General features: G+C 38.4%; 1 protein-coding gene across 5 annotated transcripts in view, besides 2 other annotated features; it reads right to left on the bottom strand.

The window, feature by feature from the left end:
* The window catches only part of CDK17 (cyclin dependent kinase 17), a 122215-nt gene that overhangs the window by 34367 nt on the left and 61376 nt on the right, over positions 1–26472 (bottom strand). For all 5 annotated transcript variants that reach the window (NM_001170464.4, XM_017019407.3, NM_002595.5 and 2 more), the window contains exons 2-4: positions 22128–22274; positions 11357–11521; positions 730–863 (exon numbers count right to left, since the gene is read on the bottom strand). In NM_001170464.4, the coding sequence (NP_001163935.1) occupies positions 730–863; positions 11357–11521; positions 22128–22245 (417 nt within the window). In that variant the 5' untranslated portion in view covers positions 22246–22274. The remainder of the gene's footprint in view (positions 1–729; positions 864–11356; positions 11522–22127; positions 22275–26472) is intronic.
* Positions 2983–3615: an enhancer, noted in NCBI's record as "NANOG-H3K27ac-H3K4me1 hESC enhancer chr12:96709352-96709984 (GRCh37/hg19 assembly coordinates)". NCBI's record gives its function as "activates a minimal SCP1, AML or CMV promoter by ChIP-STARR-seq in primed H9 embryonic stem cells {active_cell/tissue: H9 hESC(primed)}" and the evidence as "EXISTENCE:reporter gene assay evidence [ECO:0000049][PMID:30033119]".
* Positions 3616–4246: an enhancer, noted in NCBI's record as "OCT4-NANOG-H3K27ac-H3K4me1 hESC enhancer chr12:96709985-96710615 (GRCh37/hg19 assembly coordinates)". NCBI's record gives its function as "activates a minimal SCP1, AML or CMV promoter by ChIP-STARR-seq in primed H9 embryonic stem cells {active_cell/tissue: H9 hESC(primed)}" and the evidence as "EXISTENCE:reporter gene assay evidence [ECO:0000049][PMID:30033119]".

The following is a 26472-nucleotide window of genomic DNA, read 5'->3' on the forward strand; positions in this document are numbered from 1 at the left end:
TAGGAGAGATACCTTAATCATCATCTCAACAGCACCAAAAAAGCAACAATACTTTCATTTCAAAACATGTTCAATTTTTTTTTGCAGAAACCTATTTTAGTTTACAGTACGTACTGAAATAACAGTCACGATCAACTTATGTCCTCAAGGTTATACCACAACACTTACAAAGAAAAGAAAATGAATTCTTCATCCTTTTACACGGAGAAATAAATGTGCTTCAGAGATCAGTAGGTACAGTGAACCACAAAGGAAAGGACACCCACTTTTATAATATAATGCAAGAAAAAAAAGCTGTTTATTTATACCTCTTAAAATTTGAAACAGAGAAAATAAAATGCTAATTATCCAGATGAATCTCAAAAATATCATTAAAATCGTATTTTCTAAAAAGAAGACATTGCTAATGTATCATTCTGTATTTCCAGAATTTTTGAAAATTCACTTCTCCTTAATGGATAACCTAAAATAACGTTTCGCAAAAAATTAAAATAAAATGTTTCACAGAATGCGAACAACTATATTACATATCTACATTGGGATAAAAATTAAAAAAGAGGAAATATTCACAGACTGCAATTTATGAATGCAAAGAAGTAACTTTCTTACAAGTGTCACGTGTCTTCATGAAAATTTTTAAATGGGCATTTACTCCACTTGATATGTATGTGTATTAACATATACCAACACACATATTCACAAGTATATTTGTATTTTTTAAATGATTACCTCCATTGAGATCCGTCTATGTATACGATTTCTGAGACAAACACCTGTAGGTGACTGGACTTCATCAGATGATGTCCCAGAAGCTTGGTCACTCTCACCATCTGATCCCATTTTTAGATTTTCATGAACAATATCTATATCAAAAAATGAGACATTAAAAGAGATACATTATATTCTAATATATAATTTATTATCACTATGGGTAAAATATAGAAGGCCAACGAGTAAAAATCACAGCATAAAAAGTCATTTACATTCTGGGTGCCACAGGTATGCAGTTAATAGATGAAAACATGACTCAAATGTCTTAAAATAGTATGAAATCTTTTTACACTTTCAAATTATGAAAAAAATTAACATTCAAGTTATTATCAAGGGTTGAGTAATAAAATTATAAACTGGAAATAATATCTCTGAGAATGAGCCAGTTCTTTCATTTTCTAGATCTGGGAACTGAGACTTGAAAGGTTAAATGACTTTCAAAAGTTCACAAAGCTTAGATGCAGAGCTGGAATAGACACCTGGTCATCTGCCTCTTATTTAGTATTCTTTCAATTAAATAATGTGTCACTGGGTCTATGGTTAAATGGAGCTAATTCTTGGAATATTCTTTAAAACACCTCTTAAAAGCTTCTAATGCAGTTTCTCCTCCCTGCACCCCCAATGTTAAAAATAAAACAATAAAAAATTATTCACTGAATATCTATTTTGTACCAGAACTACAAAAACAAGTTTATGATCTTCAAATACTCAAAAATCTGTTCAGAGCAAAAACATACTACAAAAAAGGTGGGTTATGGCATGCTTAATAGAGATAAAAGTTAAATGGAAGTAGGGGGAGGAAGATAAATTCCATTTGAAAATATTAAAAACAGACATATACTGTTTTGTTTTTGAGACAAGGTCTTGCTCTGTTGGCCAAGCTGGAGTGCAGTGACACAACCATGGCTCACTGCAGCCTCTACTTCCCAGGCTCAAGCAATCCTCCTGCCTCCCAAGTAGCTGGGAGTACAGGCACCCATCACATCTGGTGTTTTGTTTTGTTTTATTTTATTTTATTTTTTTTGTAGAGACAAGGTTTTGCCTTGTTGTTCAGGCTCATCTTGAACTTGTAGCCATTTATGCCTAGTGTTCCATTATTGGAAGCTAAGCATGTGGGAGCTACTTATATCCTACTGCTCAAGGTCATCACCAAGGTCTGATTGCAAAAATTCAAAAAACTGCAACTTCAGGAATCCACCCACCTTGGCCTCTCAAAGTGATGGGATTACAGGCATGAGCCACCACATCTGGCCAAGTTGTATACTCATATACCTGCATTTGTCAGTCATTATCTAATAACCCAGCAAGAAGAGTGTACTAGGAAACAAATGCTGGATCTCTAGAACTCCTCTCTTGCCACTATTACTTTCTATACACGTATTCATTTTCCAGAAAGAAGCATGTTGTTTCATGCTGCAGTGCTTTAACACACTTTTTTTCTCGTTTTTAAAAGATGCCTTTTCCTATTTTATCAACTTTGTGAGATCAGGCTTAGTCTTCAAACTATGCTCATGTGTCATCACTCAGTGAAGTCTTTTCTAATCTCAGACACAGTTGACTACTGTGCCCCCACCCACTGCACTGAAGAACATTTTTTGGTGCATGTGATTTTATAAGATCCTTGGGGATGGGATTTAGCTTGTTCACTTTTCTATTTCCAGAACTTAACCAACTGTCTGGCACTCAGAAGGTGCTTAACAAGTATTCAAGGGAACTGCATATTAACTAACAATCAAGGAATGGCCTAGATAACTAGATCTCTTTTTCAAATAAAGTTATATAAAATATCAATGTGTGAGACAATTGTATTTTATAAGTATAAATGTTAACTTTTAATAATATTTACATATAAAATCATGAGGACTGCTTAGATTAAGGAGAAATTTGAACTCAAGGGTCTTATATCAACTCTATCTTAAAACTCACTTTATGTCTGTATTTTTGTCTTGGTTAACTCAATATTAAGAAAACTCCAATTAATATTCATAAGCAGTTGCAAATGGTAATGGATTTTTAATAGCTCAATATGTAATCTAAGAATACACTTCAGTTATGTTGAGATTTCCATAGAAATTTTATGGTGATATGTGAACAAAAAATTAATTTGGCAGCAAAAGTAATGTATTGGTGATTGATTCCTAACCTCTTAAAATTTGGTATATAACACATCTAAGGTCCTGTATTCATTTCTGTCACACCTTCAAAATGTTAAAAATAATTTAATCATGGCTTCCATTTCTAGTGAGATATGAAAATCTCCCTTTCCTCAAGAAAATGTTGACTAAAATACAATATTTTAAAATGCACAGCTAAATGTGCAAGAATGTATTGGTAATACCTAGGAAGCAAAAACAAAGAGAGGACTGAAAACCCAAAGCTGTTATACATAAATTGACTCTATCAGTGTCTTAGGAGAGGCTGCTGATGTTGATGAGAAGGTCCCTGGGTTTACCTTCCACATTGGGATAAAAAATGAAGCCCTGGGTTTCTGAGTTACAAGTGAGACCTTCCCACAGAAAGGCTCAACTCCCAAAGTGCTACACTTTTGAGACTTACAGGGTACATTTAAAAAAAAAATCAGAGGGAGGAGCCAAGATGGCCGAATAGGAACAGCTCCGGTCTACAGCTCCCAGCGTGAGCGACGCAGAAGACGGGTGATTTCTGCATTTCCATCTGAGGTACCGGGTTCATCTCATTAGGGAGTGCCAGACAGTGGGCGCAGGCCAGTGTGTGTGCGCACCGTGCACTAGCCGAAGCAGGGCGAGGCATTGCCTCACCTGGGAAGCGCAAGGGGTCAGGGAGTTCTCTTTCCGAGTCAAAGAAAGGGGTGACGGACGCACCTGGAAAATCGGGTCACTCCCACCCGAATATTGCGCTTGTCAGACCGGCTTAAAAAACGGCGCACCACGAGACTATATACCACACCTGGCTCGGAGGGTCCTACGCCCACGGAGTCTTGCTGATTGCTAGCACAGCAGTCTGAGATCAAACCGCAAGGCGGCAGCGAGGCTGGGGGAGGGGCGCCCGCCATTGCCCAGGCTTGCTTAGGTAAACAAAGCAGCCACGAAGCTCGAACTGGGTGGAGCCCACCACAGCTCAAGGAGGCCTGCCTGCCTTTGTAGGCTCCACCTCTGGGGGCAGGGCACAGACAAACAAAAAGACAGCAGGAACCTCTGCAGACTTAAATGTCCCTGTCTGACAGCTTTGAAGAGAGCAGTGGTTCTCCCAGCACGCAGCTGGAGATCTGAGAACGGGCAGACTGCCTCCTCAAGTGGGTCCCTGACCCCCTGACCCCCGAGCAGCCTAACTGTGAGGCACCCCCCAGCAGGGGCACACTGACACCTCACACGGCAGGGTATTCCAACAGACCTGCAGCTGAGGGTCCTGTCTGTTAGAAGGAAAACTAACAAACAGAAAGGACATCCACACCGAAAACCCATCTGTACATCACCATCATCAAAGACCAAAAGTAGATAAAACCACAAAGATGGGGAAAAAACAGAACAGAAAAACTGGAAACTCTAAAACGCAGAGTGCCTCTCCTCCTCCAAAGGAACACAGTTCCTCACCAGCAACGGAACAAAGCTGGATGGAGAATGACTTTGACGAGCTGAGAGAAGAAGGCTTCAGACGATCAAATTACTCTGAGCTACGGGAGGACATTCAAACCAAAGGCAAAGAAGTTGAAAACTTTGAAAAAAATTTAGAAGAATGTATAACTAGAATAACCAATACAGAGAAGTGCTTAAAGGAGCTGATGGAGCTGAAAACCAAGGCTCGAGAACTACATGAAGAATGCAGAAGCCTCAGGAGCCGATGCGATCAACTGGAAGAAAGGGTATCAGCGATCGAAGATGAAATGAAGTGAGAAGGGAAGTTTAGAGAAAAAAGAATAAAAAGAAATGAGCAAAGCCTCCAAGAAATATGGGACTATGTGAAAAGACCAAATCTACGTCTGATTGGTGTACCTGAAAGTGATGCGGAGAATGGAACCAAGTTGGAAAACACTCTGCAGGATATTATCCAGGAGAACTTCCCCAATCTAGCAAGGCAGGCCAACGTTCAGATTCAGGAAATACAGAGAATGCCACAAAGATACTCCTCGAGAAGAGCAACTCCAAGACACATAATTGTCAGATTCACCAAAGTTGAAATGAAGGAAAAAATGTTAAGGGCAGCCAGAGAGAAAGGTCGGGTTACCCTCAAAGGGAAGCCCATCAGACTAACAGTGGATCTCTCGGCAGAAACCCTACAAGCCAGAAGAGAGTGGGGGCCAATATTCAACATTCTTAAAGAAAAGAATTTTCAACCCAGAATTTCACATCCAGCCAAACTAAGCTTCATAAGTGAAGGAGAAATAAAATACTTTACAGACAAGCAAATGCTGAGAGATTTTGTCACCACCAGGCCTGCCCTAAAAGAGCTCCTGAAGGAAGTGCTAAACATGGAAAGGAACAACTGGTACCAGCCGCTGCAAAATCATGCCAAAATGTAAAGACCATCGAGACTAGGAAGAAACTGCATCAACTAATGAGCAAAATCACCACCTAACATCATAATGACAGGATCAAATTCACACATAACAATATTAACTTTAAATGTAAATGGACTAAATTCTCCAATTAAAAGACACAGACTGGCAAGTTGGATAAAGAGTCAAGACTCATCAGTGTGCTGTATTCAGGAAACCCATCTCACATGCAGACACACACATAGGCTCAAAATAAAAGGATGGAGGAAGATCTACCAAGCAAATGGAAAACAAAAAAAAGCAGGGGTTGCAATCCTAGTCTCTGATAAAACAGACTTTAAACCAACAAAGATCAAAAGAGACAAAGAAGGCCATTACATAATGGTAAAGGGATCAATTCAACAGGAGGAGCTAACTATCCTAAATATATATGCACCCAATACAGGAGCACCCAGATTCATCAAGCAAGTCCTGAGTGACCTACAAAGAGACTTAGACTCCCACACATTAATAATGGGAGACTTTAACACCCCACTGTCAACATTAGACAGATCAACGAGACAGAAAGTCAACAAGGATACCCAGGAATTGAACTCAGCTCTGCACCAAGCGGACCTAATAGACATCTACAGAACTCTCCACCCCAAATCAACAGAATATACATTTTTTTCAGCACCACACCACACCTATTCCAAAATTGACCACATAGTTGGAAGTAAAGCTCTCCTCAGCAAATGTAAAAGAACAGAAATTTTAACAAACTATCTCTCAGACCACAGTGCAATCAAACTAGAACTCAGGATTAAGAATCTCACTCAAAACCGCTCAACTACATGGAAACTGAACAACCTGCTCCTGAATGACTACTGGGTACATAACGAAATGAAGGCAGAAATAAAGATGTTCTTTGAGACCAACGAGAACAAAGACACAACATACCAGAATCTCTGGGACGCATTCAAAGCAGTGTGTAGAGGGAAATTTATAGCACTAAATGCCCACAAGAGAAAGCAGGAAAGATCCAAAATTGACACCCTAACATCACAATTAAAAGAACTAGAAAAGCAAGAGCAAACACATTCAAAAGCTAGCAGAAGGCAAGAAATAACTAAAATCAGAGCAGAACTGAAGGAAATAGAGACACAAAAAACCCTTCAAAAATCAATGAATCCAGGAGCTGGTTTTTTGAAAGGATCAACAAAATTGATAGACCGCTAGCAAGACTAATAAAGAAAAAAAGAGAGAAGAATCAAATAGACACAATAAAAAATGATAAAGGGGATATCACCACTGATCCCACAGAAATACAAACTACCATCAGAGAATACTACAAACACCTGTACGCAAATAAACTAGAAAATCTAGAAGAAATGGATACATTCCTCAACACATACACTCTCCCAAGACTAAACCAGGAAGAAGTTGAATCTCTGAATAGACCAATAACAGGAGCTGAAATTGTGGCAATAATCAATAGTTTACCAACCAAAAAGAGTCCAGGACCAGATGGATTCACAGCCGAATTCTACCAGAGGTACAAGGAGGAACTGGTACCATTCCTTCTGAAACTATTCCAATCAATAGAAAAAGAGGGAATCCTCCCTAACTCATTTTATGAGGCCAGCATCATTCTGATACCAAAGCTGGGCAGAGACACAACCAAAAAAGAGAATTTTAGACCAATATCCTTGATGAACATTGATGCAAAAATCCTCAATAAAATACTGGCAAACGGAATCCAGCAGCACATCAAAAAGCTTATCCACCATGATCAAGTGGGCTTCATCCCTGGGATGCAAGGCTGGTTCAATATACGCAAATCAACAAATGTAATCCAGCATATAAACAGAGCCAAAGACAAAAACCACATGATTATCTCAATAGATGCAGAAAAAGCCTTTGACAAAATTCAACAACCCTTCATGCTAAAAACTCTCAATAAATTAGGTATTGATGGGACGTATTTCAAAATAATAAGAGCTATCTATGACAAACCCACAGCCAATATCATACTGAATGGGCAAAAACTGGAAGCATTCCCTTTGAAAACTGGCACAAGACAGGGATGCCTTCTCTCACCGCTCCTATTCAACATAGTGTTGGAAGTTCTGGCCAGGGCAATCAGGCAGGAGAAGGAAATAAAGGGTATTCAATTAGGAAAAGAGGAAGTCAAATTGTCCCTGTTTGCAGACGACATGATTATCTAGAAAACCCCATCGTCTCAGCCCAAAATCTCCTTAAGCTGATAAGCAACTTCAGCAAAGTCTCAGGATACAAAATCAATGTACAAAAATCTTATACATTGTACAAGCATTCTTATACACCAACAACAGACAAACAGAGAGCCAAATCATGAGTGAACTCCCATTCACAATTGCTTCAAAGAGAATAAAATACCTAGGAATCCAACTTACAAGGGATGTGAAGGACCTCTTCAAGGAGAACTACAAACCACTGCTCAAGGAAATAAAAGAGGATACAAACAAATGGAAGAACATTCCATGCTCATGGGTAGGAAGAATCAATATCGTGAAAATGGCCATACTGCCCAAGGTAATTTACAGATTCAATGCCATCCCCATCAAGCTACCAATGACTTTCTTCACAGAATTGGGAAAAACTACTTTAAAGTTCATATGGAACCAAAAAAGAGCCCGCATCGCCAAGTCAATCCTAAGCCAAAAGAACAAAGCTGGAGGCATCACGCTACCTGACTTCAAACTATACTACAAGGCTACAGTAACCAAAACAGCATGGTACTGGTACCAAAACAGAGATATAGATCAATGGAACAGAACAGAGCCTTCAGAAATAACACCGCATACCTACAACTATCTGATCTTTGACAAACCTGAGAAAAACAAGCAATGGGGAAAGGATTCCCTATTTAATAAATGGTGCTGGGAAAACTGGCTAGCCATATGGAGAAAGCTGAAACTGGATCCCTTCCTTACACCTTATACAAAAATCAATTCAAGATGGATTAAAGATTTAAACGTTAGACCTAAAACCATAAAAACCCTAGAAGAAAACCTAGGCATTACCATTCAGGACATAGGCATGGGCAAGGACTTCATGTCCAAAACACCAAAAGCAATGGCAACAAAAGCCAAAATTGACAAATGGGATCTAATTAAACTAAAGAGCTTCTGCACAGCAAAAGAAACTACCATCAGAGTGAACAGGCAACCTACAACATGGGAGAAAATTTTCGCAACCTACTCATCTGACAAAGGGCTAATATCCAGAATCTACAATGAACTCAAACAAATTTACAAGAAAAAAACAAACAACCCCATCAAAAAGTGGGCGAAGGACATGAACAGACACTTCTCAAAAGAAGACATTTATGCAGCCAAAAAACACATGAAAAAATGCTCATCATCACTGGCCATCAGAGAAATGCAAATCAAAACCACTATGAGATATCATCTCACACCAGTTAGAATGGCAATCATTAAAAAGTCAGGAAACAACAGGTGCTGGAGAGGATGTGGAGAAATAGGAACACTTTTACACTGTTGGTGGGACTGTAAACTAGTTCAACCATTGTGGAAGTCAGTGTGGCGATTCCTCAGGGATCTAGAACTAGAAATACCATTTGACCCAGCCATCCCATTACTGGGTATATACCCAAATGACTATAAATCATGCTGCTATAAAGACACATGCACACGTATGTTTATTGCGGCATTATTCACAATAGCAAAGACTTGGAACCAACCCAAATGTCCAACAATGATAGACTGGATTAAGAAAATGTGGCACATATACACCATGGAATACTATGCAGCCATAAAAATTGATGAGTTCATGTCCTTTGTAGGGACATGGATGAAATTGGAAATCATCATTCTCAGTAAACTATCGCAAGAACAAAAAACCAAACACCGCATATTCTCACTCATAGGTGGGAATTGAACAATGAGATCACATGGACACATGAAGGGGAATATCACACTCTGGGGACTGTGGTGGGGTGGGGGGAGGGGGGAGGGATAGCATTGGGAGATATACCTAAGGCTAGATGACGAGTTAGTGGGTGCAGCGCACCAGCATGGCACATGTATACATATGTAACTAACCTGCACAATGTGCACATGTACCCTAAAACTTAAAGTATAATAAAAAAAAAAAATTCACACTTAAAAAAAAATCTGTCCTGTTGCACAAGGAATTGGACGACAAAGAAAGCTTACTAATCTCAGACTATGAATAAATACTTGAGTACCATCTGACCCAAACAAGAAATTACTCACGTCATTAACAAACAAGTGTAGTTCTGACATGACTACCAGTCGGTATTTTCATTTCCATCAAGACAAACGTGAAACAATGATGGCTTGTCAGAACTTTACTCATCTGTCAAGGGGGGAAGAGGGATATCTCTCTGCTGATCAGGTAATGTAACAGCGGCAGATACAACATACTTTTCTCCTCCAGCACAATACCCTTTAAATTTAATCTGCGTTACTAACATTTTCAATACACTGTCTTAGTTCTAGAACAAGGGTCTAGAACAAGTGTGGCTTCTTTTTATATGGCCCATGAGCTAAAAATGTTTTTTGTATTTTTAAAGGATTATTAAACAGAGAAGAATATGCAATGGAGACTGTATGCCCATAAAACCTAAAATATTTATTACTAACTGCCCCCTTACAAAAAAAAAAAAAACAAACCCTGGTCTAGACAAACAAGAAAACAATAAGCCAGGGCCTGATCTGTAGTGTTTTCTGACTTCTCTCTCCATGGACAACTTCAGGCTACCAACATGACAACACTGAACATATGGTTGGGAAGAAATGTGCAGTAGCATACCATTATATAGTGTTTTTGACTATAACTAGAACAGAAAAAAATAACGCCGGTGGCATAGATAATAGTTAAAAGTGGTAAAAAATTAGGAAGCAATGACTTTTGCATATTCATTACCTTTGTTTTTAATTTAGTTTACCTATTTGTAAACTTATATAATTTAAAATTTAATAGCTATGTTTAACAACCAGTTTGCAAAGTTCCTGAAACTTTAACAATCATCTCTTATGAACTAGTGTGAGCCAACTCCAGCATACCATTCTGTAGAGACACACCTACAGAGATAAAGGCTATATGCAGTTCTCACAGAAAAAATCTCACTGTAGATAAGCTCATACTCCCAAAATTAAAGAAACACATTTGGAAATAATATACTATTCCAAGAGTAAGCACATAAAACGAGCAGTAGAATAAAACCCCAAGGAGCTTCAGTAAATATAATTATCTAAGAAGACTATAAAATAGTTGTACTTGAAGTGATTTTAAAAATCAAAACATAATAGGCCAGGTGTGGTGGCTCATGCCTGTAATCCCAGCCCTCTGGGAGGCTGAGGCAAGTGGATCACTTGAGTCCAGGAGTTCAAGACCAGCCTGGGCAACACAGTGAGACCCCGTCTTCTAAAAAAAAAAAAAAAACAAAAACAAACAAACAAACAAATTAGCCAGGCGTAGCGGCATGCACAGGTAGTTCCAGCTACTCAGGAGGCTGAGGTGGGAGGATCATTTGAGCCTGGGAGGTCAGGGCTGCAGTGAGCTTCAATAGCACCACTGCATTCCCCTCCAGCCTGGGTGACAGAGTGAGACACTGTCTCAAAAAAAATAAAAATAAAAATAAAAACATAAGGCATCATCAAAAAAGGCCAGAGGAATAAACAGAAACTTGCAATTCTTTTTTCTTGGATATTTAAAGACATAATGACAGAAGAAGAAACAATTCAGGTGATAACCACATATACTATTCATTATAATAGGCTTTATATGGTGATGATCTGAAAAGTTACTGAGGCATTACCCTAAAATAAACACCATCCCAAACTGCCATTCATCTTGAAATACTGCATCCATTTATTATGGGTTTCATTTCCCTCCTGATGGACAGGTTTTTCAAATATTACTTCCCTGTATTGTCAGCACTACTACCTCTCTAGAACTTTCCATCCTTCTGCTATTCCTCTTGATCTCAACTTGATTTTTATCTGACAGAAGAAACGAGATAATAAAAGTTGCTTAATTAAAACTTAACTATGTGCATGACGTATAATCAGAAAGGTAAACACAACAGACAAGTAATCAAATTACCTAATCTGCTTCCATTTCTGGGCATTGCCATGAAGGAGCCAAGGCTCCCTCCAATAACACTGTGTGGTCTCCGCAATGGGGGCTTCTTGAAAGATCCTGTGTACTGGTGGAGGAAGGAATGCATACTGTGAGACGTTGGAGGCCTGCCATTCTTCACAATAGGCTCTGTGGTTCATAGAATTCGAAAATCATTCCATCATCAGTCCAAGATCCAGGATCACATGAGAAGGATTCAGAAAGCAAAACAAAAAGTTGTAACAGAGATTAGTACATTTAGCCTCATTGCTTTGCTTAACTATACACAGTATTAAAATTAAAATAGTTTCTCTGAAAAAATACTTAAGAAAATACTTGAATATTTTAAGTTGGTCTAATAACCATCTATTTCTTATATAATCAAAAGTGGCTAAGAACCACAAAACTACTAATATACCCAACCAAATTTTCATCCATTTGTTTATTTTAGTGTATCTCAAGATTGTTTCCATACCACTCCTCCATTTATTGACTACCTGTGTGCCTTATTTTAAGCATGCTTGGCTGGGTGCATGGCTCACACCTGTAATCCCAGCACTTTGGGAGGCCGAGGCAGGCGGATCACCTGAGGTCAGGAGTTTGAGACCAGTCTGATCAATATGGTGAAACTCCATCTCTACTAAAAACACAAAAACTAGCTGGGCATGGTGGCATGCGCCTGTAGTCCCAGCTACTCAAGAGGCTGAGACAGGAGAACTGCTTGAACCCGGGTTGCAGAGGTTGCAGTGAGCCAAGATCACGCCACTGCACTCCATCCTAAGCGACAGAGCAAGACTCCGTCTCAAAAAGAAAAAAAAAAAGAAATTAAGCATGCTTTAGAATATAAAAGACATGGTCCCGGCCTAAAGGAATTTACATCCCTGTTTGCTGGACATTCAAAATGGTATGTCAATTAGTGAATAAAACCGAAGTACCTAAATACATATCAATACAGAGGCTCCAAGTTTATTCCCCTGAATTTGGGATTAATATAAAGAGTTTTTAAACAATCACAGACCCATAACCAAGCAGAAACATTAAAAAAATATAATACTTAAAAGCTATTTAATTATGCATGGGGGAGAAACTGTTTTGTAATGTTTATCAGGAATCTCTTGACTCCTTTCCACCTCCAAAGAAGAGCTCTGATACAGGTTAAAGATACAAGTCTTGTGATACACAATTAGTCTTCTATATTAGAATTTTGTTTTTACTGATAGCAGCCAAGGAGTTTTAAAAAGAACTGGGCTGCTCTGAATACCTTCTTTTTAAAATGAAGCCAACTATTCTTCTGTAGCTAACAATCAGGCATAAGGATACCTCCTGATCAGGGGATTCCTTTTTAAAATGAAGCCAACTATTCTTCTGCAGTTAACAATCAGGCATAAGGATACCTCCTGATCAGGGGATTCCTCTACCTGTTTCTCAACTAAGGTTTCTCAACTAAGGACAGGTTGACAGGAGTTGGCTACAAGCCTTAAAGTGAAAGGCTTCTCTCACAAGAAAATCTTAGGATCCGCAGAACAGGACCAGGGTATGGGCTCCAGAGAAATGGGCCAAGAAGGCCATGTGGCCTGAGCCTCTACGAATACTGGTTGCCTAAAAGGGTATAAGAAGGATGGGGCATAAGGGCCCAAAGGCTCACCCAAGGTCCAAGCTATCTAATCTGGGTCAAAGACAGACTGGAGGTAGGGGCAAATGCCTACCTAGTAATACAGAACATGTGTCTAAAGTTTCCTGTGATCTGTACATTCCCTGGCAGTACCTAACTGATAAAGAATTTGGGGATCTTAAGTGAAGCAAAATAATCAATGATTTAATAATGAATGAAGAGGGGCTATCTGATATAAATGCATAAATAATTACAAACAATGTGGGATAATACAGGCTACAGCATACAATAAGATTTTTCTCAGCCAAGCATGATGGCATGCACCTGTAGTCCCAGCTACTCAGGAGGCTAGAGTGGGAGGATCACTTGTGCCCAGGAGTTTGCGGCTGCAGTGAGCTAAGATAATGCCACTGCATTCCAGCCTGGGTGGCAAAGTAATACCCTGTCTCAAGAAAGAGAAAAGAAAAATGAAGATTTTTTTCTCTTTCTAGGTTATTTCACATGTGAAATATCACAACATTCAAATATTAAAAACAAATTATGCAAATCTTTTGCCTACAGACAACATTTTAGTTGCTCTGTAAAGCTGTCCTGGAGAATACAGCTTGATTGTTCTGGAGAATATAGAAAAAAAATGGGGATCATAAGGACATACTATTTGATAAACACTATTCTAGGCACTGGGCATCAACTGGTGAACAAAACAAAGTACTGATCTCAGAGTGCATAAAACCTAACAGGGAAAAGACACACACACGAAGTCAGGTAATGACAGGCGATATGCAAAAGACTAAAATAGAGGGATGTGGAAATGAGTAGCTAGTTATTTTACACTGTATATTGAGGAAAGTTCTCTCTGCTGAGATATTTTTAACAGAAATTTAAATGCAAGAAAGAGCCAGTCAGGGAAGATGGTTAAGTTGTGGATAACAGGATATTCCAGATAGAGAAAAAAGCTAATGAAAAGCCGACATATGGCAGAGTTCGACTTGTTAGAACAGTGGTCCTCAAACTTTAACATGCTTCAGAATCATCAAGGATCTGTAAAACATGAGATTGCTCGGTCTCACCCACAGACTTCCTGGTTCAGTAGGTCTGGTGTGGAATCTAAAAATATGTGTTTCTAACAAATTCCCAGGTCCTGCTGACATTGCTGGTCCAGGGATCACACTTTGAGAACCACTGTGTTAGAGGACTAGAAAGAAGGCAAGTGTAGCTATAGTACCTAACCGTGCGGGCAACAGTGGTACCAGGTGAGACCACAGAGGTAAGGAGGGAACAAGTCATTCAACACTTTATACTTCACCATAAAAGTTTGAATTTTATTCTCAGATTGGAAGCAGTTACGGTAGCTTTGAAGCAGGAGAGTGATATGATCTGATTCATGTTTCAAAAATATCACTGTGAAGGGTTAAAGATAGTAGGAGGTAAGGGGGTAGGGAAGACTACAAAAGGTAACACGAGAGATCTATTGTCATGATGAAACAGTTCTTAATCTTGATTGCAGTGGTTATACGAATCAACACAGGTGAGGACATGACACAGAACTATATTTAGACTTTATTCCAGTATCTGTTTCCTGGGTTCTATAGTTACATAAGATGGAACCAATGGTGGGGGGATTGGGAGAAGGGTACAAGTATGGGTCCTTTCTATATAATCTTTGTAACTTCCTTTATATTTGTAATTACTGAAAACAATTTTTTAAGATATCATCTTGGTTGCTGTTTGAAAAACAGGCAATAGGGAATCAACAGCAAAAGGAGGAGATTACTACAGTACCCTAAGTAACAAATGTTGGTGGCTTAGACTAGGGTGGCTGTACTGAAGATGGAGGGAAGCAGGCAGATTTAGGACATATTACAAAGGCAGAAGCAACAGGCCAGCAGACACGACTGCTAAATTAGTTTCACACACACTCCTACCACCCAGCTTTTAGTCAGCATTTATAGTAAAAACATCTATTCAAATATTTTTTTTTTCTTTTTTTCCAGGCAGGGTCTTGCTCTGTTGCACAGGCTGAAGTGCAGTGGTGCAGTCACAGCTCACTGCAGCCTCAACCACCTGGGCTCATGTGGTCCTCCCACTTCATCCTCCCCACCATAGCTGGGACTACAGGCACACACCATCACACCTGGCTAATTTGTGTCTTTTTGGTAGAGATGGGGTTTTGCTATGTTTCCCAGCTAGTCTCAAACTCCTGGGCTCAAGTGATCCTCCTCACCTCAGCCTCCCAAAGCACTGGGATTACAATGAGCCACCATGCCTAGCCCCAAAATATTTTTAAATCTTTACCAGATCAACTGTTAAACATATATGAAATATGATGTGTTAATGGACTATAACTGGAATTGTGTATCAGTCACATTGATCAGGGGTCCCCAACTCCTGGGTCACAGACCAGTACTGGTCCATGGCCTGTTAGGAACCAGGCCAAGAGGTGAGCAGTTGGCAAGTGAGCAAAGCTTCATCTGTATTTACAGCCACTCCCCATTGCTCACATTACTGCTTGAGCTCCACCTCCTGTCAGATCAGTGGTGGCACTGATTCTCATAGGAGTACTAACGCTGTTGTGAACTGTGCATGCGAGGGATCTAGGTTGCATGCTCCTTATGATAATCTAACGCCTGATAATCTGTCACTGTCTCCCATCACCTTCAGATGGGACCATCTAGTTGTAGGAAGACAAGGGCAGGGCTCTTACTGATTGTACATTATGGTGAGTTATGTAATTATTTCATTATATATTACAATATAATAATAATAGAAATAAAAGGCAAAATAAATATACTATGCTTGAATCATCCTGAAACCATTCCCCCAACCTCAGTCTGTGAAAAAACTGTCTTCCACAAAACTGGTCCCTGATGCCAGAAAGGTTGGGGACCACTGATACAGATGACTATCATAATCATGAGTTTCTAAGTTATTTATGTGGTAAAAAATAGGAAGCTACAATGGTGGGGGTTGGGGGCAGGGAGGAGACAACAGTAAAGTAAAGGAGAGAAAAGAATTGGGGACAATGCCTAGATTTTTAGTTTTAGTAACTGGTTAAGTGAGCAAAGTTTGAGTAGAGGCAGATTTTGGAGAAAGGAAATCAAGAATTCTGATTTGGTCATGTGAAGTCTAAGATTCCCATTACACATCCATGTGGAGAAGACAAGAAGGCATTTAAATATGAATCTAGAGATCCAGATGAAGATCCTAACTGGAGATTCAGACTTAGGAGTAGTCAACATATATATGGTAGTTGAAATTGTAGGGTTGGAGGAGGTCACCCAAGGAGAGGGTATAGACAGAGAAGAGATTGCGGCCCATGAGAGAGCCACAATAAAATACAATAAAATATTCTAACACTTCCAGAACTTGAAACTAATTAGCTGGCCAATTCAATAAGATAATAACACTCTGTATTTTAAAAAGTAATGGAAACCTTGGCGACAATATGCTAAGGGAAATAAGTCAGACACAAAAGGACAAATATTATATGGTTCCACTCATATGAGGTACCTAGAATAGGCAAATTCATAGACAGTAGAATGGTGGTTACCAGGGGCTGGGGAGAGGAGGGAATGTGGAGGTATTGTTTAATGGGTACAGAGTTTCAGTTTGGGATGATGAAAAAGTTATAGACATGGGTAGCAGTGATGGTTACGCAATGTAAATAGACACGTATTTAATGCTGCTGAACTGTATACTATAAAATGTTAAACTTTGTATTATATATATTTTACCATAACTTTTAAAAAGTAATAGAAATCTATATGAAAAATTGCAGATCTTTTATACTCTATAATTAGTTCCAAGTAAGGATTTCCAATGATTTTTACCACCACAACATGATAATCATTATGATTCCACTAAGAAACGTTATTTGGCATCTTATTTATCTAGATCTTTTCATTACGTGAACTATGATCAGGAACATGCAATTTCATAGCCCAACTTGTAGCCTAAGCCATTCCCTCCTCCCAAACCTGCTCTTTCAAACATTATTACTAGCCTGATCCCATTCTAGATCCTACATATATCCAATGGAGTTTATGCCTTCAGCGTCAACCTTTCAAGGAACTTGTGCTATTTGTTGGAGTTAGTCCTCCTTAAACTCCCTATGTTATCCACTGTTGTAAAAAACAATTACTGTTATGATGTAACCACAAACTGTCGAAGACAAACTGTCACAGCTAACATGTAAGAGATCAGCAAGATAAAGAGACCTAGGTGAAAGACAGAGGCTCACAATATCCATAAAACTGGAATTTGTTGACTCCAAACTTGACAAATTGCTCCAGTGTACAAACGGAGCTGTTAAGAATGAGAATTTGGAATATCAGGAAAACCAGGTCATTTTAATCTTTGCTTTTTGGTGTTACTTCTAATGCTAAATAATCATGATAAGTGACATTCTGTTAGGTTTATCTGACTACACTTCTTGGGAACATGTACATTAGCTGAAGAATTTCAGTTGGTCAAGAAGTCTCAAGTAGTATATGTGCAATAAAACATAATTTTACCTTTCTACAACTGTGATTTATTCTCTTCCTCACATTTAAATTGTCACCTATTCTCATCAAATTCAATAATCTCAATATATCGTCCCATTACAAGAAAAAATAAGTTCAAGGCTATGTAAACACAAGATTCTGAAATATAACTTTCTGTGATAAGTCTTAAAATAGAATTAAGACTTATCAAACATCTGTTCTGCTGCAGTGACAGCAAAAAAAAAAAAGACATCAAATACATTGAGTGTTTATGAGGGAAAGCTGAAGCTCAGATGAACTGAATTTTTTATTGAGATGAAATTCTTATAACATTAACCATTTTAAAGTATACAATTCAGTGGCATTTCATATACTTACAATGTGGTACAACCATCACCTCCCTGTGTTCCAAAACATTTTCATATTGCTAAAGGAGATCCCATACACAATAACCAGTCACTCCTCAGTCTTTTCTCCCTATCAGCCTCTGGGAACCACTCATCTACTTTTTGTCTCTATGGATTTACCTATTCTGGATACTTCATATAAATGGAATCATAGAGTATTTTGGGTCTGGCTCCTTTCAGTTTTCAAAGTTCATCTATGCTACAGCACATAGCTCTTCATTCATTTATGTATTGAATAATATTCCATTCTATGGACAGACCACATTCTGTTTATCCATTCATCTGTTGATGGGCATCTGGGTTGTTTACACCTTAGCTGTTGTGAATAGTGCTGCTACAAATATAAATATTTGTGTACAAGACTTTGATTACCTGTTTCAATTATTTGGGGTATATTCCTAGGAACAGAATTGTTGGGTCATATAGTAAGTCTATGTTTAACTTTTTGAAGAACTGAGGTAAATTAATTTTTGACAGGTGTGTTTGTTTGTTTGTTTTTGAGATGCAGTCTAGCTCTGTTACCCAGGCTGGAATGCAGGGGTGCCATCTCGGCTCACTGCAACCTCCGCCTCCTGGGTTCAAGCAATTCTCCTGCCTCCTGAGCAGGTGGGGGACTACAGGCGTGCGCCACCACATTCCATTAATTTTTGTATTTTTAGTAGAGACGGGGTTTCACCGTGTTGGCCAGGCTAGTCTAGAACTCCTTACCTCCAGTGATCTGCCCACCTCGGCCTCCCCAAAGTGCTGGGATTACAGGCATAAGCCTGGTACCATGCTTGGCCTTGACAGGTTTTTAAAAACTGAACATTAAACACTTCTCAGTTAGTAAAAAGAAAACTGATGGGCTCAAAATTCTTTTTCTTCCAGGCACTACAGAAAAAAATATTTTGTACATTTCAGTTTGGAAATTTTTCTGCAAAAATTTTATTTCATATTTAGGGAAAGGTGTATTGAGTTAAGGCCAGAATCCTTAAATGAACCAAATTTGCAAACTTTCAACTTTTTTTTTTTTAGCATACTGAATACAAATTCAGGATTCATCATTCCTTGGGTTCAACCCACCTGTCAATGTGCAAACATACTAGTTTCTATAAATAGACAAAGTAATTTGATTTATAGATTTATAACTGAGTTAAAAACCTTCATATATGACTCAGTTATCAAAATAAGAGAGATAATATCTCATTTGGGATATTCTATTGTATTTGGATAGAGGTAGAGCATGCATGAGTGAGATTATGGGTATAAGTATAACCAAACGCATCATACCCATAATTTCTCCAACATGTTTATAGTATTACCCCCAATTAATGTGTTCTGGATCTAGAGTATGCATGAGAGCCATGTGCCTAGATATGCAAGAGTAATAGGACTGTGATCATGCCTGTGACTAATCAAGAGACAAGTGATCAAAAATTGGTCCAAAGGCAGTTTATTCAGGGAAATTATAAACTACTGTTATGTGCCATGTGACGTTTCAGACAATGACAGACATCATATACAACAGTGGTCTCATAAGATTATAATGGACCTGAAAAACTCCTATAGCCTAGTGATGCCAGTGATGCCACACCCGCTGTAACATAGTAGCACAATGCATTTCCTTTTCTATGTTTAGATACACTTAGATACACAAACAACATTGTGTTACAACTACCTACAGTATTCAGTACCATAATACACTGTACAGGTTTGTAGCCTATAAGTAACAGGTTGTACCATGTAGGCTAGGTGTGTAGTAAGCTATACTACCTAGTTTTGATATACTCTGATGTTTGCACAATGATGAAATGGCCTAATAACGTATCTCTCAGAATGCATCCCCACTGTTAAGCAATGCATGACTGTATATTCCTCCTACTCCTTCAGCTAGCATTATGCTACTATTTGGCATTAAAGCTCACTTTTGCTTCATAAACTGCTTACATTGTATGTGAGAAGATAACTTTAAAAGTATATACGTGTCATTCATTATGCTATATTCTCTGTATTCTGGCATGGACTGTGTCTGTGTATGTGACCTGTCTAACAGCTTTTATACTCTAAAATATGTTCCACAAGAAAAGAATGTGTTGGAATCAGCTATCAGGCACTGACAGGTGACCAAAAAGGTGTAGAATCTCTGTGAAAGCTGTTGGTGAAATCCATGTGCTATTACAGAGAGAAAATAAGCATAGTAGATTATGGTAGCCTATGCTACTAGCAATCTTTGTAACCCAAGAGGAATCAATGTCTCTTATGACGTCTTGAAGTATTACTTCAAGGTCAAGGAGAAACTCAATAGATCGCCTATTTGCCCTTATTTACTACCTATTAAAAGTTACTACTGTAATAAAATAAGTTTTAAAAAACATATACAACTTGAGAAAACAAATATTTTTAATCTTTCACCATTTGTTAAAAACAAAGCATGTTTTATGATAGTTAATACCAAAATATTCTAGAAAATATGCAATTGGTCTAAAATATTAGCTAAAACATACGTTCATTTTCTTTGACTCATATCTTTTCTTTAGGAAAAGAGGATTGTCTTGTAGTCAAATACTAAAAATATGTCCCAGAAACCAACCACTAAGATATATACTGTGTTTATTTTATTCCTGATCATCATTGGCAAACACATTGGCAAGACCCTTCTATCCTAAGAGTAGGCACACTGCGCTTCCCACCAAAAATTCAATGGGGGGGGGTCCCACCAAAAATTCAATGAGGGGGTCTAAAAGAGAATTAAGGATTTTGCTCTGTGTATCTAGAATAGGTCCTCTGGCAAGAGGAACAACAGTAAAATCATGATGTTTGAGATTTGACCCAAATGTACAATTTTCCCCTCCTACATATAATTCTATCCAAATTATTATATTAAATTTCCTACTGAGCCCATCCCTCTCTCCTCCCCACCATGACAAAAACAAAACAAGGCCAGGCGTGGTGGCTCACACCTGTAATCCCAGCACTTTGGGAGGTCGAGGCAGGCAGATCACTTGAGGTCAGGAGTTCAAGACTAGCCTGGTCAACATGGTGAAACCCCAACCCCATCCCTACTAAAAATAATAAAAAACTTAGCTGGGCATGGTGGCCCATGCCTGTAATCCCAGCTGCTCAGGAGGCTGAGGCAGGAGAATCACTTGAACCCAGGAGGTGGAGGTTGCAGTGAGCCAACATTGTGCCACTGCACTCCAGCCTGGGCAGCAGAGCGAGACTGTCTCAAAAAAAAAAAAAAAAGGTAGATGTTATCAAGGAAAACCTTAACAAATGAATGAAAGGGTCCTTGCAGAACAGTAGCATTGTTATAGACTCTGAAGTGAAGAAACCTGGGTTCTAAAGTACTGGTTCTGGAGCTGGGTAACCTTGAGCAAATAATGACCCTTCTGAGTAAAGGAAATAAGAAAACTGAAGCCTGGGTAGAATAAACGGCTTAGCCAGTCATCAACTAGGAAGTGTTTAAGTGTATCCAAAATCCAAACCTATGACTTTAAAAAGTCCAGAGCCCACTCCACTATACCTTTTCCTCTCTCAAAACATAAGTATGTGCATTCTAGTGGAAGGGGTAAGGGTGTCCATGCTTTCCAGCCACTGCCACAAATCTCTAACAGCAGAATTTCAGGCACAGGTAAGGAAGATCTGCCAGATACTCTGCACATCATGACACACTGAAAGCCAGTCACGTAAGTTCCTTCCCAGTTACTACTATGACATCCCTAGGGCTATTTCAGATTTGAATATGTAGCCTTCCTCTAGAAATTTCACCAGGATTTTGTATTTAACACACTTAACAAGCTCTTTTTATTTTAACATCTGGATACTACTACTTTATGTTGTAAAAAGCACTGTCAAATGCATGAAACATTATGAAACTGATGAAGCCACAAACAGAAATTTCACAGACTTCCTATGCACTTTTAAGCTGTATTAACTTGGGTTATAAGAATAAAAAAAATTAATAGTTATTTAACAATCAAGATAATATTATAAAATGCATTCTTCTTTAAGAACTAGTGAAAAATGGAAGGATATGTGGAATAGAACAATTCATCAGGGTTTGAGACCAGGTATCGTAATGTTGGAGTGAGAGGGAAATATTCCAGTTAGTAACCAAACAAAAGTTATATAGTCTTCAATTTCCTAAGAAACCATGGAATGAGACAGAAATAAACAAAGGGAAGCTATTATGAACTTATCTAAAAAGTAAATTTACATTCTATTCATAAAGTAATTAAAAGGAGGAAGCATCTCCCCCTATGCCAAATATTTACCATTATCCTTGCTGCTGTTTTCTTCAATAGTCATTTGTTCAGCCAATTCAGACAATGATTCATCAATAGTCTGACTTCCTCGGAGTGTGAGGGATAGCCTTCTCTTAAATTTTTTCATCCTATCAATTGAATGTGGCTTGAAAAATCCTGAAAGAAAAGAATAAACACAAAACTAAAGCTATAAATATTTTACCACTGAAGAAAAATACCGCCTGGGTTTACTGGAAATCTTTAAAATAGGAATATAATGAGGAATTCTCACTTCTGCCAAACATCACCAAATCCAACCCCTTTTTTAAAAAGATTCACCTACTCCGAATAATGCTGTATTTATTTGGCATCATCAGAAGAGCAGGAATTCCATGTAACTAAAGAGTGGGACTTTAAGCATCACAAATAAGTTTAGAAGGATTGGAAATTTTCTTAAAATGTGTATTTTAAAAACCATTATAGTAAAATATCAATATTATTTTGATGCTTAGGTTCCATAACATAAATATCAATCATTATATTGGAACCAGCCAGTGATATCTTCAGATATAACAGGGAGGCGGGTGAGGTAATGGAGGAAGACAAAGAACAATGTTTGACAATTAAACAGCTCCAACAAGAAATTTTCCTTTTTACGCTCTTACACAGCCAGTACATTAGAGTTTGGTTTTGTTTTTACTTGTTAGGCTTTCAAGTGTCTCTTTCATCCTAAGAGAACCAAGCTTTAGAAGGAAGAAACGAAAGCCAAATTAGCGGGTACTGAATGCCTGCCACACAGCAGACACTTTCATATCTCTAATTGTGTCTTCCTAATTCTGAAAGGTAAAGTATACTATCCCATTTTCACACATGAGGAAACGTGCTCAAAGAAGTTCCCTGACTCATGTCAAACAAATAAATGACAGAACTGAGATTTAAAACCAGAATTACCATTTACTTTTTCCTTCACACTTTAACATCTTTGAAATCAGAATGTATCTCACAATTAATGTGATGTCAAAATGTAACTGACAGTATTTTTTCTTACAGGTACATAAATTAATGGTATAATTCATAGTAGAGTCTTGGATATGATGAAACAAGGTACTTATGCCAAACCCAAATTCTTGACCCACAATTTCCTTTCTAACTTGGTATTTCTATGATGAGCTGGCTTACCAGATTGCCATGCACACTATAACCATTATCCCAACCAACCAAGAGTAAGGGCCGTACAACTCCTCTATATTAAAGTACAGGGGTTTTACCATCCAGCTCCAGATATCTATTTTATAGCTGTAAATGTTTTGCTTATTTTCTCATTCTAAGGATTTATTCTAAGTAACTGAGTTTACTGAACAGGTAATCTATGCATATTAGTTACAGAATAATTTATTTTTGCTTAAAAGCTGGGGGGGGAGGTATCACAAATAAACATAAGTAATAATTTTATATTTTACTACTTTCATATTATATTTTAAAATAGAAACCAGCTGGGCATAGTAGCTCATGCTTGTAATCCTGGCATATTGGGAGGCCAAGGCAGGAGGATCTCTTGGGGTCAGGAGGTTAAGACCAGCCTGGAAAACAGCGAGAATTTGTCTCTACTGAAAAAAACAAAGAAAATTAGCCAGGCATGGTGGCATCTGCCTGTATGCCCAGCTACTCAGGAGACTGGGGTGGGAGGATCACTTTGAGCCCATGAATTTGAGGCTGCAGTGAGCTACAAATGTGCCACTGCACTCCAGCCTGAGTGACAGAATAAGATGCTCTCTTAAATAATGTTTTTTAATAATTTTTTAAAAATCCACTAAAATAAAAATACCAAAAAATACTAAATACACATTAAAATAGCAAGAGTTGCGACTGCACTTTAATAAGGACTCTTTTCACCCACATGCTCTAAAATAAGAGACATACTTTGGTGAGATATTGAAAAGTTTCTATTCCTTAGCTCAGTTTAAAGTCGAGTTTATGCCTAATGTTTTCTACTAACGTATCCTCCAGTTCACAAATCCTCTTTTCAGCTGTGTCTAATCTGCAGTTAAACCCATCTGTTGTGCTCTTAGTTTTAGTTACTATATTTTTCAGCTCTAGAATTTCCATTTGACTCCTTCCTGCAGATGCCAGTTCTCTAGTGAAATTCTCCACCTCAGCATCTATTTTCATGAACCGAATACAGTATTTTAAAGCCCCTGCTTTTAACTCCAAAGTCTGAACAATCTATCAATCTGTTTCTCTTGTCAATTTTCTTCTCTTGATCTTTTTGTATGCTTAGTAATTTTTTATTGTATGTAAGACATTGTGAGTTATCATATGCATATGTATACGGAAAAAACGTAGAGCCTCCAGATGATGTTACCTTCCTCCAGAAAGGATTTAATTTTTATTTTTTTTAACAGTCTCTGTAGGAGCAGACTGATGCAATCCAATTGGGACTGAGCTGACTTGAGACTGAGTTTCAGACACTACAAAGATAGGTAGGCCTCTGATTTGTCCTCACTCTATGGTGTGGCTCTTCACTAGGGCCAGAACACCACCACAACAAACTATTGAAAGCTCCATTCAACTTCCTCAGTCGTTTTTTGCTCATCTCTTATGCCTTGCTCAGCTTTTATCTTCTTACCCCCAATAGCTTAAGAGCTGGAAAATGGATCAAGAGGAAAACCAGCACAGAGTGTGTCTGTCTCCCTTCTCTCCTGAATCTTGACTCTTCAAGTGTTGATTCACTGAGAAGCTTTACAATGCCTTCAAAATGATTTTTTCCCCTAGCATTTCTAGTTTTCAGCAGTTTTAGTCTGTTACAAGTTACTCCATCATAGGCAGAAATGGAGGTTTTGATGTGGATTAGATGAGATAATATATGCACTTCCCAAGCAAAGGAGAAAGTAAACCATGAAGTTCATTCCAATTAAGAAACCTGTTAATTGTAGGGTTACTCTAAATGCTATTCTTTACTTCTGATAGTCAACCTTTATAGCTCTACCTTGACAGTCAGTAACTCATGCCATTTGTTTAAACACACTAGATATTTAAGTTGTACTGAGCTATTGCCACTCTCATCTACCCTTTGTTTCTGTAAGACTTTACACTACTTTACACTAGAGACATCTTCCTTTGTTAGGCTCCCAAATCATCCTGTGCAGTCAAGAAATAACTAGGGAGGCTTGGGGTACTCTAACTCTGCACATTCTGAAAAAAGCACTAGTCTGTGAGAGGCTCCTGGGAGATAACCTCCGAGCCCTTGGAATATCCTGCCTGATAAGAGTGTCTCTACATAACTGACACCTTGGATCATATCAGGTAATCTATATAAACAATATGAATTATGGTTAATGCTTGTTTTTGTATGCCTGGGGCTCTGGCCCACACTATATCAGTTTGATTTCTTAGGTGAGGAAGGACCTGCAGGAGAGGCTGGAGACTGAGTAACTAAAGTCAGTCATATGAGCACTCCATGCCTATCTAATAGATCCACAGTAATTTTCTTGCACAACAAGACTCAGGTGAACTTCCCTGGTTGAAGCTCTTTGCATGTTGTCATAGCCCATGCAACTCCACTGGAAGAAGGCAAATGAAAGCTCACATCTGGATCCTCTTGGACTTCAAGCTACATACCTTTTCCCTTTGTTGATTTTCATCTGCATCTTTTAGCCATAACAAATCATAACCATGAGTTTAACAGCTTTTCTCTTAAGTTCTATGAGTCCTTCGAGCAAATCATCAAGCATGATGGGTTGGTCTTGGGGATTCCCAACGCACACTCCAAGAAATCTACGTGCCCCAGCAAAAAGTCCTAAGAGATGGTAGCTCATAACTACCAACATTTCGGACTCCAACTTTTTCAAACACAGGCATCTAGTCACTAATTTTTGTATTTTTAGTAGAGATGGAGTTTTGCCATGTTGACCAGGCTGATCTTGAACTCCCGGCCTCAAGTGATCCGCTCACCTCGGCCTCTCAAAGTGCTGGGATTACAGGCATGAGACACTGCGCTTGGCCCTCAACATGTTATTAATATAATAGTTATTAACTTTTTTTTTGGTGAGCGATAATAAATGTTATTGTCTGAAGCCACTAAGGTTTTTTTTTTTTTAATTTTTAAAAAAGTTGTAAAATACACATAACAAAATTCACTATCTTTACCATTTTTAAGTGCAGTTTCAGTGGTATTTATTTCATATTGTTCTGCATCTACCACCATTTTCCATCTCCAGAATTCATTTCATCTTGCAAGATGTAAACTCTGTACCCATTAAAGAATAAATTCCCATTCCTGTCCTTCCCCCAGCCCCTGGCAACCAAAGTCCACTGTGTATTTTACAGTTGCATTATCCGACTATACAGACATCACCACTTCAGAATCTTGCCACAC

The sequence above is a fragment of the Homo sapiens genome, chromosome 12, assembly GCF_000001405.40.
Source record: "Homo sapiens chromosome 12, GRCh38.p14 Primary Assembly".
Classification (NCBI taxonomy): domain Eukaryota; kingdom Metazoa; phylum Chordata; class Mammalia; order Primates; family Hominidae; genus Homo; species Homo sapiens.